The 18,531-nt window shown below is 41.7% G+C and overlaps 1 annotated feature.

Annotated features, from left to right (window-relative positions):
* Positions 10,738 to 11,299: an enhancer, noted in NCBI's record as "NANOG hESC enhancer chr11:35676186-35676747 (GRCh37/hg19 assembly coordinates)". NCBI's record gives its function as "activates a minimal SCP1, AML or CMV promoter by ChIP-STARR-seq in primed H9 embryonic stem cells {active_cell/tissue: H9 hESC(primed)}" and the evidence as "EXISTENCE:reporter gene assay evidence [ECO:0000049][PMID:30033119]".

Below are 18,531 nucleotides of genomic sequence, written 5' to 3' on the forward strand. Positions count from 1 at the left end.
GTTGATGTTTTGTGGTGATACTTCTGAATAGTATCACATTTCGAACAATGTAAACCTCCCAAAGGAATTGTTCAAAGAAAACTTAATTAAAACATTTTCCCTCCACAAGACAGAGTCTCATATTGCCCAGGCTGGAGTGCAGTGGTACGATCTCAGCTCATTGCAACCTCCACCTCCCAGGGTTCAAGCGATTCTCTTGCCTCAGCCTCCCAAGTAGCTAGGACTACAGGCGCATGCCACCACCTCCAGCTAAATTTTTGTATTTTTAGTACAGACGGGGTTTCGCCATGTTGGCCAGGCTGTTCTTGAACTCCTGACCTCAGGTGATCCATCTGCCTTGGCCTCCCAAAGTGCTGGGATTACAGGTGTGAGCCACCGTGCCCAGCATTAAGACATTTTTAAATGGTCTGGGCTGAGCCTGGCATGGTGGTTTATGCCTCAAATTCCAGCACTTTGGAAAGCCAAAGCAGGAGGATTGCTTGAAGCCAGGAGTTCATAGTGAGCCTGGGCAACATAGTGACCCATCTCTAAGGCGAGAAGATTACTCAAGCCCATAAGTTGAAGGCTGCAGTGAGACATTATTGGGCCACTGCACTCCAGCCTGGGTGACAGCATGAGACCCTGTCTTAAAAAGAAAAAAAAAAAAAAATTCTGGGCTGAAGTATAAAAAATCTAAATCACGGGTAAGCCTGGAAAGAGACCAGCAAACTGGGATTTGACACTTCATCAACACCATCATCAAAAAATTTTTTTAACTTTATTTTATGGACTGTAAGATGCATTTTTTTCCACATTTTCCAATCATGAAATCTTACAATCCCTAACTTTTTTTTTTTCCTTCTTAGTGCTATATGGATTGATGGTACGTATTCCAATGAATGGGATCTAAGTTTTGATGAAATATGGCATGAAGCATTAAGCTTACTGGCGTACTGTTTTGAGTAAATCAGCCCAAACAATTTTGGCTCTTAAAGAATTTATAATGTGAGGCAGACAATGTAAAAAGAACATTGAAGCAACTAAGTCAACACTGCATGGAGACAGGGATGACTTGGTTCTTTGTGGGCAAAAAAAATAAAAAAGAAATTTAATTCTTTAATTAAAAAAATTCCATTTCACCATTTACTTATTGTGTAAACATGTTTAAGTTACTTAATTTCTACATATGTTCATTTCCTCCTCTATGAAAGGGGCCTAATAACATCTCTTGAAAGGTTGTGGTGAGGATTGAAGGCATCACTACGTAAAAAGGAAAAGCCCTATTGGCCCTTAGCTTGGCACACAGGAGGCTTGGCTTTCATACTACCAAAACAGATGTCTCTATCCTCCCTGAGTATCCCCCAATATGGAGGAGCCAGACCAGTCTTATTTTAAGATTCAATCAAGAATGATGTTTAGTCTATTCAGCCTGCTATGACAAGTTAGTCCAACTTCAGGGTTCTCATTGTAGATGGTGGTTTAGTCTGTTCAGGCTGCTATGCACAGTTACCATAGACTGGGTGGCTTAAACAACAGAAATTAATTTCTCACCGCTTTGGAGGCTGGGAAGTCCAAAATCAAGTCACCAACAGACTGATGTCTGCTGAGGGTACTGTTGTGGTTTGCAGATGGCAGTCTTCTCACTGTGTCTTCACATGGCACAGAGTAGACAGAGGAAGCAAGCTCTTGTGCCTCTCTTTTTATAAGGGCACTAATCCTCTTCATGAAGACTCCACCTTCATGACCTAATTATCTCCCAAAGTTTCCACCTCCTAATATCATCACATTGAGAGTTAAGATTTTAACGTATGAATTTTGGGGAGATACAAACATTCAGTCCACAGCAGGAGGAATTGGAAGCATCTACTGTCTCAGCTCTTGTTCCAATTAGCAACCCATATTCTACTGATACTTTCCCTCTTCATGCGTTTCTTTCTTACATCTCTTCTGTGTAGCTGTCATGATTTACATGTCCAAATTCTTCTTGGTAAAATCTATCCTCATTACCAAATAGGTTTTCATAAAGTCCTAGTTGCTACAGAACACATACCTCATAAGCTACATGAGGGTAGGGTCACACCTGACTCATTCACTGAAGAGTCAACGGTAGCAATCACAGAGTGAAATGGGAAGGTGCTCAGTAGCAGGTCTCACCAGGCTAAAGTCAAGGTTTAGAGCTTGTATTCCTTTTTGGAGACTCTAGGAGAGAATTTGCTTCCTTGACTTTTCTATCTTCTAGAGGCTGCCTACATTCCTTGGCCTGTGTCCCCTTTCCCCCATTTTCAAAGCCAGAAATAGCAGATTGAGTTCTTCTTAAATTGTATAACTCTGCTTACTTCCTTTGTCTCCCTCTTCCATTTTTAAGAACTCTTGCGATTACATTGGACCCACTGGATAATCCAGGATAATCTTTCTATTAAAGTGTCAGCTGATTAGTAACCTTAATTTCCTCTGCAACCATAAATCCCCATTGCCATGTAACATGATATATTCACAGGTTCTGAAGATTGTGACATAGATATTTTTGTGGGTCCATTACTCTGCCTACCATACTAAGTTACGTTTTTATTAATAATAGCAAACATTTGTGAGAGCCTAGTACGTGCCAGGTACTATGCTGGCTAAGCACTTTGTATGCATTCTGTCATTTTATCTTCACAATAACCCTATGAGGCAGAAACAATTATAGCCCTAGTTTTAAACATGCCGTAGCTAAAGAACCCAGAGGTTTAAAAGACCTGTGCAAGGACAGAGATCTAATCAGTGTGAAGCCAGGATTTGAACCCAGGAGCAGGCCTAGTCGCAAGGCCTTAGTCTTAAGAGCTAGACCATATAATTGCAGGTGGCAAGTATATCCACAGGAATGGATGAACTTGAACGAAGAAAAGAGGTTCCAAATAAAAGTCCAAGAGAGTACCGTAAAATTAAAGTGGCAGCTTGGTGGATGGTTTCACAATGAATATCCACACTTCCTTAGCTGGAATTTCTTTCTTTATAAGTGACAGAAAGTCTTATCAGGATAGTCTATTAAAAAAAAAGGGTGGGTCAAGTAAACTGAAAAATGCAGAATTAGGGCTTCAGGCATAATTGGATTTAAGACTCAGTGATCTTATCAAGAGTCAGTTTTTTGAATCTATAATTTTTTTGAAAACTTTGTTTTAGAAAAAAGGAATTGGTTTTCTTTTTTTCTCTTGTGTCTACCTTCCTTGGAGTGGATTCTTCAAGTCAGCAAGATGTAGGGAAATCCAGCAGCTCCAGCCACTATTCCTCTTTCCTTCTAGGTCCAGCAGGAAAAAAAAAAAAAAGGAAAAAATATCCTCTTTCTCAGAAGTCCCAAGAAAAATCACATTGCCTCTCTGGCTCTGCCAGAGTCCTGGCCCATCTTTGAAATAACCACTGTGGTCAGGTGAATACAGATGCTAATTGCTTAGTTCTGGGTTGTAAGTTCCTTCCTAGAATTACTCATGGAGTCAGTGTCTCTAGAACCATACAGATTCAGAGGAGTAGAAGAGGGATACTTTTGACAGCAGATAACAGACTTGCTTATTTATACGGCTGTATTATCTCACATAACAAGAAGTCCACAGGTAAGCGATCTGGGTTGGTGTCTTAATTCGTCTGTGTTGTTATAAAGAAATAACTGAGACTGGATCATTTATAAAGAGAAAATATTTATTTGGCTCATGGTTCACAGGCTGTACAAGAAGCATGGTGCCAGCATCTGCATCTGGTGAGAGCCTCAAGCTGCTTCCCCTTATGGTGGAAGATGAAGGGGAGCCTGTCACAGAGCGAGAGCAGGAAGAGGGAGGGGGAGAGAGAGAGAGGGAGAGAGAGAGAAAGAAGGAGAAGGAGAAAGAGAAAGAGAAGGAGAAAGAGGAGAAGGAAAAGGAGAAGGAGAAGGAGGAGGAGGTGACAGCCTCCTTTCCACAATCGGTTCTCAGAGGGGCAGGGCAGGAGGTAGGGGGAGACAAAATGGGAATTAATTAACTCCCTTGAGAATGGCACCAAGCCCTCCATGAAGGATCCACCCCCATAATCCAAACACCTTCCACCAAGCCCCGCCTCCAACACTGGGGATCAAATTTCAAATTTCAACATGAGACGTGGCAGGGCCAAACAAACCATATCCAAATCATAGCACTGGGTGACATAGCAGTTGGATAAATCCAAAGCTTAATAATGTCGGGGGTCTAGGTGTTTCTCTATGGTCTCTTACTCTCATGATTATAAGATGGCTTCCATAGCTTGTTCCTCACAAGATCCTAAAGCAGGAAGGAAGGGACAGGGCTTTCCTCTTGCAAGTCTCTTTCTTCTGTTTAGAAAAGGAAATCTTTTCCAGAAGTGCCCCGATGAGACTTGCCTTAATGCCTCATTAGCCAAGGCTTGGTCACATATACACCTCAAAACCTATTACTGGCAAAAGAGGTTGGGATTCTCATGATTGGCTTAGCTCTATGATGGTTCATGCTCCAGGGCTGAGGATGTTAATATCTAAATATCTGGAGAGATGAGAGTTCTGTTAGTAGGGAAGCTGGGTTTTAACCAGCTATGTGTGCCTCAGCTCCCTGAGGCAAACTGGGGAGTTGGTTACCAGAAGGAGGCTGAGGGGACACCAGGTAGAAAAAACAATGAATGTCTATTAGAACTAAACGGAGAGCAAAGACAGTTCAAGACCTGGAACATACTAGGCACTCAGTGGGGAATTCACAGAGTTCAAAAACCAAATTGAGAAGAACGGGAATTGTCTCAGAGCTTTAGGTTTAAATATGGACTGGCAGAACCAACACGGACCACACAGATTATGGTAATTGCTTTGAAAAATGGTCAGAACCATCCTTCCCATCCTGCATGCCCTTTTATAATGTAACTCTGAAAGTCTTCAGGAGGTAGAGCCCTTTCTCCCTCTTCTTGAATCTTAGTTGACCACTGACTTGCTTTGATAAATATTCTACAATGAAAGTAATATTGAATGACATCTGGACTAGGCCTTAAGAAGCTTTCAAGCTTCCATTTTCATCCTCTTGGAACCATGTAAGGAAGTTCAGGTTATCCAGCAGGAGGGACTGTGTAGAGAAAGAACTGCAGATCAAGTTTTGCTTTCTTGCATGACGCAGTGATTCCTTTCAGTTCAACTCTGAATCTTGTCAGGTCTCAAATGTGCCTTAGGGTCTATATGGATTTCAGGATGAAGACAGCGTAAACATGTTTGGATTATTCTAGCCCTAGAGGATAAGAGTTCCTCTCCCTAGGGTAGAATTGAGGTTGACAAACATAGCTGCTAAACAAGTGGGCAACACCATCTTGGATGTTGCAGCTCCAGCTGAGCACCCCTCTGAAAGCAGCTGCGTGAGTGATCCCAGCCAATACCATATAAAGCAGAAGAACTAGCCAGCTGAGCCCAGACAATCCATACCATCCTGAGAAATAATGAATCATTATTGTTTTCAGCACCTACATTTTGGAGTGGTGTGTGGCATAGCAATAGACAACCAAAACAGGAATCATCTACTTTAGCTCACTCATTTCACAGAGACTGAAGAGCCAGTGAAGTTAAAGGACTTGCTCAGAGCCACATAGCTCATTAGTGGCAGAGGCATGGCAAGAACTTAGATTTCTGCATTCTCAACCCACTGCTTGATCATTAAACCTGGCATAATGGCCGGGCACAGTGGCTCACACCTATAATCCCAGTGCTTTGGGAGGTCAGGGTGGGAGGATGGCTTGAGGCCAGGAGTTCAAGACCAGCCCCAGCAACATAGTGAGACCCTGTCTCTACAAAATAATAATAATAATTTTAAAGTTAGCCAGGTGTGGTGGCACATGCCTATAGTCCTAGCTACTCAGGGAGGCTGAGGCAGGGAGATCACTTGAGTCCAGAATTTTGAGGTTATAGTGAGCTTGCACCATTGAAGTCCAGCCTGGGTAACAGAGCAAGACTCTGTCTAAAAAAAAAAAAAAAAGAAAAAGAAAAAGAAAAAAAAAACCTGGTATAACTATTTGAATCCAGACAAAACAGGTGTACTTGTAACTTCTGCTAATGTGCATATAAAGTAATAGCTTGCACCGAATGAGTGTTTATTATTGCTTGGCACAGGGCTAAATGCATTATCTCATTTAATCCTCACAATGAGCCTATGAAGTGGGTCTGATATGACCACCCCTTCCCCATTTTACATGTATGATAATTGAAGTTAAAGAGGCTAAATAATGTGCTCAGAGTCACCCAGCTAAGTAGGTGGTGGAGCCAGGATTCAAATTCAGATTTGTCAGGTTCTGAAATGCTTACTCTTTAGCTGTCATGATATGCAGTTTCCACTGACTCACAAGGGCATTTTTTACCGCAGATCAAGTTTTTTTTCTTCTTGCATGATGCAGTGATTCCTTTCAGTTCAACTCTGAATCTTGTCAGGTCTCAAATGTGCCTTAGGGTCTATATGGATTTCAGGATGAAGACACAGTAAACATGTTTGGATTATTCTAATAGTTTTTCTTTACTGAGCATTTTCTCTGAGTCACTAGGACTGTTCCTAAGGAAGGAAATTAAAAGGTCTTGAGTTTTTAATCCCTCAGAACTACAATCAAGACACTTCCCACCCCACCCCCACCCACTGTACACTCTGCATTGAGATTTATGGACTCCTATTATCCTGAAACTACCTGTGAAGTAAGGATGACAATTGTAAGGTTGTGCTTTGGCAAGATTGGACAGTCTTGCTGAGCAAGAAGAGAGGAAAAAAAAAAGAAGGGAGGAGGAACAGGAAAGAAGGAAGGCACTAGCCGGAAGGAAGTTGGACCCAAGAAAGTGAAACTATTGGTCTAAGAGGATTATTGGGAGACTAGAAATCTAAGGCTAAGGCTGCCTCCCTTGGTTAGTAAGACGACTGTACATCACACTTTACCTAGGACAGTTCTGGTCTCTACCTACTGTTCTGGCATGATTGTCAGTAGTGCTCCATTTCATTCTCGAGGTATTCCGGTTGGGACAATAAGTCATATAGTGATCCTTTCAATCATGTTTCACTCTCGGCCCACCACTTCAAGTTTCAAGAAAGAAAACTAGGCACTCGATGCTATCATGAGTGCTGAGGACATCAGAGTCAACAGATATGGCCCATTCCCCCGCGGAGCTCACTGCACAGTAGGGGAGATACATGGCCGCTTTACGATTTATGAAACACAAGAACAGAGGCACTGCTGGGCACAGGGGTAGGCAGTGGTTGGGAGAGGAGATGAGGTGGCCATTACAAGAGAGGGAACAGCAAGTGCAAAGACATGGAGGCATGGCAAAGCATGGCATGGTTTAGGGAACCATAGAAATGAATCACTCCTAATGTCAAATGCAATGAAAGATTCCGACCCCAAATTATTTTTCAGAAAAGGGCTATCTTACACTTGATTTCTTCCAAAGTCTCTCATTTTATAAGGTGATCTCCGGGTTACTTTATTTTAAATAAAATAAATTACCATTTAGGGAAGTAGATGAAATTAGTTGAGAGAGAGAGAGAGTATGTGTGTGCATGCGTGTGCATGTGCACGCATTCCTGGGCTCCCAATAATGCTTCCCAGAATAGCTGGGACTAAAAGAGGGAGCTCACTCACAACAGAGTCTCTCTCCATCCAGTTCTCTTTACCCCTCTGCCCTGCACAGCCTGAGAGCAGGGTTTGCTAAGAGGGAGAGAGGCAAAGAGAGGAAAGCAGGCACACTGAGCCCAGAGCCCTAAGGACAGAGAGAGAGAGAGAGAGAGAGAAAGACTGGCATAAAGACTCAATATTATTCCTTGCCTGGGGTATGTCCTCAAAATCCTTAGTGGTGCACGTCATTGTAAAGTAGCCTTTTAAAGACCACTTTTAAAAAGCAACAACATAGCACATGGCTATATTGTGGAGAATATATATATTCTCAACTATAAGGAATGGGTTTTTTTGTTTGTTTGTTTTTTGTTTTTTTGTTTTTTTTTTTTGGTTGGTTGGTTGATTTTGAGATGGAGTCTTGCTCAGCCCTCCCCAGGCTGAAGTGCAGTGGTGCAGTCTCGACTCACTGTAACCACCGTCTCCTGGATTCAAGCGATTCTCCCGTCTCAGCCTCCCGAGTAGCTGGGATTACAGGCACCTGCCATCATGCCCAGCTAATTTTTGTATTTTAGTAGAGACGGGGTTTCACCATGTTGGCCAGGCTGGACTTGAGCTCCTGACCTCAGGTGATCTGCCCACTTTGGCCTCCCAAAGTGCTAGGATTACAGGCATAAGCCACCTCGCCCAGCCTATAAGGGACTTTTAAAAAATATCCTGTTGTTATATAAAGGTATATGTACGATTTGTGATAAAAATTCCAGTGGCTGCATCATTTCGTTTCAAAAAGTCCTATGTTACAAACAATGTAGAAAGCTGTGAAGATGGTATGTCTTGAAAAGCTGTGTTCTGTGACTCAAAATGTAGCTCTAGTGACGATGAAGACATTGTCAGAATTGCCTGTGAAGAGTTGGAATAAACTTATTCATAAAATTTGAGACACAAAAAGAATCAATGTTTCTAAATTAATATTTTATATAATATTTAATTTAAAATATATTTAACTAAATTAATACATGAAATATTACAAGGAGACACTGGAAATTCTCAGTTATATCCCCAAACATTTATACATTCAAGTTGGCAATACAAGTTTTCTTATATGATCATTTCATAAGAAAATGGGGGAAATGCCTAATTTGAGGTCACCAGATGTTTCGCACATACGAAACATCCCCCTTGGTCTATGGTGAACCAAGGCGTAGAGTTGAGGGAGCAGCAGGAGATGAAGTTGGAGAGGTAAACAGGTGGTCAAATCAAGGAGGACCTTGCATACCATGCTGAGTTTGCAGTAGGCAATGGAAATCTAATGGATATTCAGAAGATGAGTGTATCTTAATTAAATTTGCATTTTGAAAGAATGATTCTGATGGTAGTGTGGATGGTGAACAGAAATAGAAGAATGTTAAAATATGCTCAAAATATAAATGCAACGCAGCACTCATGGCCCTGTTTTGCAGGTGCATCTTCAGAGCGTAGGAGAGGGACTGGCCCATGGAAAGTAACCAACACTTATTTTATTTATTTATTTATTTATTTATTTATTTATTTATTTTTGAGACGAAGTCTTGCTCTGTCACCAGGCTGGAGTGCAGTGGCACGATCTCAGCTCACTACAACCTCCACCTCCCGGGTTCAAGTGATTCCCCTGCCTCAGCCTCCCCAGTAGCTGGGACTACAGGTGCACACCACCACACCTGGCTAATTTTTTTGTATTTTTGTAGAGATGGGGTTTCACCATGTTGGCCAGGATGTTCTTGATCTCCTGACCTCGTGATCCACCTGCCTCGGCCTCCCAAAGTGCTGGGATTACAGGCGTGAGCCACTGTGCCTGGTCTACCAACACTTACAAAATGAATAAGTTAATGACTGAAGGAATGACCCACTCTGAAACTACCTGTTCTCACTCCTCATCCCTCCCCATCAGAAGAGGCTGCCTCAGCGTTTTCAGGATGGCTCTTCCTCATTTTGACTATGTCTGTGGGCCCTCTGGTTTATCTGTGTTTCTTAAACTGAGGCCTCTTCCATCCTCAACTCGACTCCTCTAATATCTTGTCATCATTGTCTAAATAACTACTATGGCTATATGTTGTCTTCAAACTTTTTTGAAAATGTACCACTTTTAGAGAGCATACTTAGGGGAAATAAGTCACCTGTTACTTGTTCCTCACTCTCTACTCTTACCTACATCATTCTGGTACCTCCCATAATACAAATTTCTTTATTCATAGATAAGATTATAAACTGGTCAAGATATTGAGAAAAATGCCTCACTCTATGGAAAAAAAAAGTTAAGTTAGACTCCTATCTCAAACCATATACTAAGGTAACTTCTAGATGGAACTTAATGTGAAAGGGAAAATCATAAAGATAAAGGAAGAAGATATTGGAGTGTATATGTATAATCATGGAGTAGAGATAAACTTTTAAAACAGAATGGATTTGACTACGTCAAAACATAAGGTCTCTATTCAAAAAGGACACCACTATAGACAATGATAATGGACAGGTGACAGACTGGGAGAAGATATTTACAATATCTAAAACTGACCAGGATTAATTACCCAGAAGAAACAAGAAAATTCTATGAAAACAATAATGAAATGTCAGAGAACTCAATCAAAAATAAGCAAAAGCAATGGACACGCTGTTCATATAACAAGAATATAGAGCCATTCATCTTTATAAGTAATCTGAGACATGCAAAAATAATACAAGTTATCACTTTATACCCATTGACAAAAATTAGAAAGTCAGATAATACCAAATGTTGTCAAGGAGTGGATACCCAACATTTTAACAATCTCAGCATTGTATTAAAAAAAAAAAAGACAGAAACAGAAAGCATTCCTTAGTGCCATGTTTATGTAAGGACTAACACGTGCATAAACAAAATAATTACACTTTTTAAAGATAGATATATACTCAAGGATATTTATCAAACACTCACTAATTAGAGTGAGTTTCTGTGGGAAGAAGTTGAGGGAATGAGAGTGGGAGTCTGTAGATAAAAGAAAAATTAAATTAAATTAAAATTACATAAAATAACTTTCATAAACTAAAGACAGGTGATGATCTGAGTTGTATGATTAACTGGCCTATCTGCACCTGAGTTCCAAAATAAATAAATAAATGGAGAGAACAAGCCTTGGGGAGATTTTCCCTCATAATCCCTGATTTACAAGGGCAGTGCACTAACCGCTGAAATACAAAGAGTTTAATTACTTCCAGTCCAGAGGTGACTGCTTTTCTAACTGGAGTAACGGAAGGCAAATTTAGGGATTTTTCTCACTCCCAAAGAGGGCTGATCTCGCAGATGATTAAGTGTCTGCCTCCATTCCCCGAAGCCCACTCCGGTAAAAGCGAAGACCACCCCTAACAAAGCATTTTCAAGAAGAGGAGTTTGAAAACATCATTTTGCCAAAAAGAATGAGCACCACCCAGGGGTTAGGGAGCTGGCTTGGGGACCAGGCAGGAAGTCAGAGATTAACTCACAGTTGACTGGATGTTCTTTTAAATCACTCTCTTGGCCTTTCGTTTACACACTGGTAAAATGGAAACTCCATTAGCAGAGACTATGGAAAGTGTCTGAAGAAAACTGAAACAACAGTCAATGAAATCTTTTGAATTCTTACAGTGAATAAAATGATGAATATAAAAATGGGTATGTTATTATTGTTATAGTTACAGGAACTATTTAGCAAGTATGATACTCCATGAGTATAATGAAAATGTCTTGATCAGGGCTTGTCTGAAGTTAGCTTTACACATGCTTATTTTTTAAGGGATTGGGGTGTTTAGAGCATTGTAATGTTACCAAGAAGTGAAGCATTTGCTTGTAAGCACTGGATGAAATGAAAATATTCAGAAGGGAATTGGGCCATGGAATTATTTTGTGTATCCCTCTCCAATAGGCTTCTGAGGAAAAGAGTCAGGCTCAGCCACTCGGCCATAAAGGCTTCATTCTTTATATTGTGGCAGGGCTGGGATGGGCTGAGAGATACTATATTTCACTGCACTGACTTTAATAGGATAAGATGTTAGCTAATATGATAACAGCATGAGATGAGATTCAGGTGATCTCAGGGGCTTGTTGGGGAAAATGAAATCAGTCACTGAAGTGACAGTCTAATTACATAAGAATGGGATCAGCTGAAGGGGTGCATTACCTTCCCTAAAGCAGTGGACTTTGAAATTCCACCCTGTTGTCTTTTCAATGTCTAAAGGTTTTTCTAAAATTAAATGTACTATGTTATGCCTCTTACTAAACTCAGCTCTTCTATTTGGCACAGGTGAAGGGGACAGAAATAGATTTCACACCTGGAAGGAAAAGACAGGTAAAGTTATTTAGAATCAGGCAATTAGGGGTGATATTAACTATTCAAACCACAGATGAATATGGTAATATCCAATCTGAAAGATCTGGGTTTGAATCCCAACTCAGCTAGATTCTGGCTGTGTAAACCTTAAGTTTTTCACCTCTCTGAACCTAGGTTTCCTCATTTTGTGTAGAGTTCAAATGTTAAAAGACTTAAGGGCTATCAGCCACGTAACAGCTGACACCTGTTTATTCAGGAATACACTATTTCTGGAAGTCTCACATGCACTCAGAAAACAGCTGCAGCTGCAAACTGCCCTGTCCTCCACATCTGCCTGCTGCTGAGCGTCTTGGAGATGCCTTAGAGCCATTGCTACCTACGATGAGAAGACAACGGCAATGCCAAGTGTGATGACCAGCCCCCAAGATGACTCAAAGTTTTGGGGTAATTTGTTATTGTTTGGGCTCAGAAAATGATACCCCAAAATGAAGGCTTCAGAAGCATAAGTTTCTCTCTGACTTTCTCCCACTTTCCTGTCTCTAGCCCCTCATTCTCCCCTGAGGCTAGCCAAAGAAACTAGAATTCCTCTTTTTTTTTTTTTGAGAGGGAGCTTCGCTCTTGTTGCCCAGGCTGGAGTGCTGTGGCGTGATCGCCGGCTCACCGCAAGCTCCGCCTCCCAGGTTCAAGCCATTCTCCTGCCTCAGCCTCCCGAGTAGCTGGGATTACAGGCATGTGCCACCACACCCGGCTACTTTTGTAAGGTGAGTCGTAGACACCAGAACCTCTTTTCCCCAAAGCCAGTCATAAAACTTAAAAGTATTACTCTAACTTTCCCCCACATTTCTGCATAAAAACTGGCCATAAAGAAATGATCTGACTTACTTTGCTTGATTGTAGGTCATAAGACCCCGATTCCAGAGAAAGTCCTGCCCTGTACCTAGAAGGAAGGAATGTTGCACAGAAAGGCCAAGAGGAATCTAGACAGGCAGACCCTGCTGTCTCCCCACTCAGTCTGTTATTGTTATCAGAAAGGGGCCCCAATCTAGACCCCAAAAGAGGGTTCTTGGATCTCGCCCAAGAAGGAATTCAGGGTGAGTCCGTAATGTGAAAGCAAGTTTATTAAGAAAGTAAAGGAATAAAAGAATGGCTACTCCATAGACAGAGCAGACGGCTGTCGGCTGCCCACTTTTATGGTTATTTCTTGATTATATGCTAAACAAGGGGTGGACTATTCATGCCTACCCTTTTTAGACCATATAGGGTAACTTCCTGACGTTGCCCTGGCATTTATAAACTGTCATGGTGCTGGTGGGAGTGTAGCAGTGAGGATCTCCAGAAGTCACTCTCATTGCCATCTTGGTTTTGGCGGGTTTTGTCCAGCTTCTTTACTGTCATCTGTTTTATCAGCAAGGTCTTTATGACCTGTATCTTGTGCTCACCCTCTATCTCACCCTATGACTTAAAATGCCTAACCATCTAGGAATGTAGCGCAGTAGGTCTCAGCCTCATTTTACCTAGCCCCTATTCAAGATGGAGTTGCTCTGGTTCAAACACCCCTGACATTAGCATTAGATCATACCCTTTTTTCTTCAATCATATTTCTACATGGCTGTTCATACTTCATTGACCCTAAGTATAAAAATAGACAGTTTCCCCCTGTACTTTTGGGTCTTCATTCTGAAGACTCTTGTGTAATGTAAAACTTATATTAAATAAATTTATACATCTTTTCTTCTATTAATCTGCCTTTGTTCAGGTGATTTTATAGCAAACCTTCTGAGGGTGAAGTTTCCCCTCCCTTCCTACATTATGTAGCGATAGACAACTAACACAAATTTTATTAAAAAGAATAGTTTTTCCATAACAAAACCCTAAAATGTTAGAATGGTTTTAGAACTGAGCAGAGGGTAGAAGCTGGAAGGACTTTGAGAACAATGTTAGTGAAAGACTAGAGTCTTTGCTGGATGCGGTGGCTCACACCTGTAATCCCAGCACTTTGGGAGGCAGAGGCGGGCACATCACCTGAGGTCGGGAGTTCGAGACCAGCCTGATCAACATGGAGAGGCCCCATCCCTACTAGAAATACAAAATTAGCCGGGCGTGGTGGCTCATGCCTGTAATCCCAGCTACTCGGGAGGCTGAGGCATGAGTATCACTTGAACCCTGGAGGCAGAGGTTGCGGTGTGCCGAGATCATGCCATTGCACTCCAGCCTGGGCAACAAGAGCGAAAAACACTAGAGCCTTTGTAGGTGAGAACTTAAAGGGAAATGAGGAACATGTTTTTGGAAACTGGAGGAAAAGGGTCCTTGTTATGTAGTGGCAGCAGTTTAGTAACATTGTCACCTGCAGTAATGTGCAAAGTAGAAATTGTGCCTAACCAGCTGAGTGTTCTAGCTAAGGATATTTCATGGTAGACTGTTGAAGGTGCTAACTGATGTTTTCTTGCTGATTATAGCAAAATGTGAAAAGAAAGAGATCATCTAAAGGAAGGACTTAAAAAAAAATCCGGAACTTGCAAGTTTTGAAAATTCCCAGCTTCCCCAGATGGCAAATGATGCTACTGTGAAAAAATGGCTTCCAGGCAAGGAAAAACTCCAGGACATTCCCAGCAAAACATCATCAAATGATGAAGGTAAGAGTGCGGCTATAAAATCCTTTGTTCAGACCTCAAAAGGATCTATAGCAGTGATTCATAGAATCATTCAAACAAACCATAGAGCTTGGAGGAAGTTTATAGTGTTGTGCTTTAGTGGTTTCACTGAGGGATTCTACAGAGTAAAGAAGGGTTTATCTTGAAAAGAGCTGTATGTATAATTTTTGTCCAATGGTATGAGCCCCAATTCGATTTATAGAGGATTCACAAAGTTTTCAAAACAATTCTTTGGCAGAAGCACTGCCAGCATGGACACACAGACAGAGTACAAAATGAAAAGTAGCCTTTGGACCTCCTAAATTCTACTTGCAGTAAGCAAATTGATACAATTACACAGCTGCAAACATGAACTACTTTTAATGGAAAAGGAAAGATGACTCAGAGAGTGGAATCAAGAGCTCAATGGGTGAAATAAAAAGCCATGGGGAGTCATTCCTGAACAAGGAGTAGGTTTGAACCCTAATCAAACAGCTTCCAAAATGTGTCTACCTGGATTTAAGGATTCTATGAGCCAGTGACTTCTCAGGCCTCCTGTCTTTCCTCCTTTTTGAGCAGGACTGTCTGTACCACTAATCTTTTTTATTTTTATTTTAGACAGAGTATTGCTCTGTCACCCAGGCTGGAGTGCAGTGGTGTGATCTCAGCTCACTGCAACCTCCGCCTCCTGGGTTCAAGCAATTCTCCTGCCTCAGCCTCCTGAGTAGCTGGGATTACAGGCATGCACCACCACGCCTGGCTAATTTTTGTATTTTTTTAGTAGAGATGGGGTTTCACCATGTTGGCCAGGCTGGTCTCCAACTCCTGATCTCAGATGACCCGCCCGCCTCGGCCTCCCAAAGTGCTAGGATTATAGGCATGAGCCACTGCGCCCAGCCTGTACCAGTTATCTTAAACCTGTCCCACCATTGCATGTTGGGGTGTGGGAGACATAGGCATTCAAATGAACTATACTTGAGGATCTGCACTTAAAACACTACACCAAAGTGCTTCATCCACACCTGGTCCCAATTTAGATGACAGGACTCCAGACTTTGAACTGATAATATAATGGGTTGAGACTTTTGGGGACCTTGGGAAGAAGTGAGTGTATTTTACATTTGGGAGATACGTGAATCATTGGTGGCCAAAGGGCAGACTGTGACAGCCAACCTCCAAGATGGCCCCAAAGATTCCCATCTCTTGGTTTTCAAGCCCTTGTGCAGTTTCTGCCCACACTGAATAGAGCTAATCTCTAACCAATAAGCTATGTACGAAATGATGGCGTGTGACTTCTGAACTTAGGTTATAAAAGACATTGCATCTTCCATCTTGCCCTCTCTTGGATCACTTGCTTTGTGAGAATTCAACTGCCCTGTCTTGAAGACATTCCAGCAGCCCTATAGAAAGTGGTGAGGCCTTTTGCCAACAGCCATGTGAATGAACCATCTTGGAAGCAAATTCTATGCTTGTAGGTAAGCCTTCAAGTGACGATAGCACAGCCAACATCTTTACCAAAATCTCTTGAAAGACCCTAAGTCAGAACCACTCAGCTAAGTCACTCCCAGAGTCCTTGCTCACAGAAACTATGTAAGATAATAAATGTTTATTGTTTTAAGCTGCTACATTTTGATGTCATTTTCTATGTAGCAATAGGTTAATATAACAAGGGTGCTATTTGTGGACACTCCCAAAGATACTAATTCCTGGGGAATCAGATGGTTCGGATTTCTCTGCAGAGGGGTACAGAGATCTGCCTCATTGAGTCTGCCACACCTTGTCACCAGAAATTTATGGAGTCCCTTTTTAATAGTTTAATCTGGCCAGGTGTGGTGGTTCATACCTGTAATCCCAGAACTTTGAGAGGTCGAGGCTGGTGGATCACTTGAGTCTAGGAGTTCGAGAGCAACCTGGGCAACATGGCAAAACCCCATCTCTACTAAAAATACTAAAGGTAGCCGGGCATGGTGGCACACACCTGTAATCCTAGCTACTTGGGAGGCTGAGGCAGGAGAATCGCTTGAACCCGGGACGCAGAGGTTGCAGTGAGCCAAGATCGTGCCAACGCACTCCAGCCTGGGCAAAAGAGCAAGACTCCATCTTAAAAAAAAAAAGTTTAATCTGTCTGCCTCTAAGACCCTTTCTCCACAGAGTGCTCAAGAAGAATTGTAAAGTGTCAGATACTGAACTGCACAGTATTATATTTTAACTTTCTGTCAGATAACATTAAGAAGAAACAGTAATAACAATAATGATGACATGACTCCCCCTCCCCTCATCAAATACCCTGGATACAACAATGTCCTTTTAAGATATTAAAAAGGCCAGGCCTGTGGCTCACACCTATAATCCCAGCACTTTGGGAGCCTGAGGTGGGAGGATCACTTGAGTCCAGGAGTTCAAGACCAGTCTGGGCAACATAGTGAGACCCCGTCTCTACAAAAAATACCAAAACAAGTAGTGGGGCTTAGTGGCTCACGCCTGTGGTCCTAGCTACTTGGGAGGCACTTGGGAGGACTGCTTGAGCCCAAGAGGCTGAGGCTGCAGTGAACTGTGATTGAACCACTGCACTCCTGCCTGGGCAACAGAGAGAGACCCTGTCACCAAAAAAAAAAATAAATAAAAAAAATAAAAATTATTTTCATTGAATAAAAGACTTTCTAAATGTGAGAACGTTATGTTTGTAAAGGCTAAGTTGTTTCCTTTTAAGCCTGGGGGAGGACAGGAGTAGAAATAACCAAGCAAGGCACACTTCTCATTAGGTATATTAACGTTGATGTTTGAGTTGACATTTGTTGAATTTTTTTTTTCAGAATGGTGCTTCAATTCATGTTTCAAAAGCAGACACAGAAATAATTTCCAGAGAAATGAGCTGGGGGAAAACAGAAATGTGTATGGAATTGGAACAAAATAAACCTGATTTTTTTCAACATTGTATAGAATTGTTCTGAGGTTAAAAAGAAAGGTTTCTAAAAAATAAATATCTAACAAAAGCTGCACAAAGATTAGGCATACATTATCCATGGAGACATTAAAAACTATTAAAAAGGTTTTTTTACCCCACCTCATCCCCTGGTATGTTTGAGGAAAGCATCTGGAAATTCTAACTCAAAATCATCTAAGGGAATCAATGTAAAACAGACACCATTCCATCCCCTTTCATCCTTCTTAATACACCTCAGCCTCTCCCTTGACTAGATAAAAACGTAATTTTCCCTCTCCCAAATACAGTGCAAAACAAAAACTCTTCTGTGAATGGAGAGACATGGATATGGGGTAGAGGTGGAGACTTGCCTACATTACCAGCAGCCAGCCGAAAATGCCCTGTGTGTGTAAAATATGTTCCTTCAAAGGGGCATTGTGAGCACTAAATATAATTTGTGCCAAAAATAATAATGAAAGCTTAGTGAATACTCTACAGTGCAGGCATCGTTACATTTAATCCACAAAACTACCCCATGAGGTAGATATTTACCGTTCTTTTCACTTAACATCTTTTTTAAAAAGCGGAAAACAGAATGATGAATTAACTTGTCCATGGTCATAAAACTGATAGGTAGTGGCACCAGGATTTGGGGACCATCGGGCAGAGGATCTTCCAAAACCGGCTTTTAAAGAGCCACAAAAAGATGTAGCCGGGTTCTTGGCACTACAGTACTGCTTTATAAACAACAGTTCCCTTCTTTTCTCTTAGAGCCCAGTGGGAATCTAGAGGGACACCTTACATAAAGGAAAATGACTGCAACCTGGACCTGTCACTCGACAAATACTGCCTCTCCCCACCTCACTTCACCTGACGTCTCTGCCCAACCGAAGGCAGCTCTCAGAAAACCGCACAGAGGTTACCACCCCAGAAATTCTGAGATCCTAGGAGGTAGCAATGCAAATAGACAAAGCACAGTATTGCTTTGGATCGAAAATATTTGTTTGCTCATCCTAACTCCAATTCCCCTAGCCTAGAACAAACATAGCCCTTCCGCACTCAGGAAATCCCAAGAGGTCAGGTTCAGTCTGGTAAACAACACTGTCCGGGC

The sequence above is a fragment of the Homo sapiens genome, chromosome 11 (genome assembly GCF_000001405.40).
Source record: "Homo sapiens chromosome 11, GRCh38.p14 Primary Assembly".
In the NCBI taxonomy this organism is placed as follows: Eukaryota; Metazoa; Chordata; class Mammalia; order Primates; family Hominidae; genus Homo; species Homo sapiens.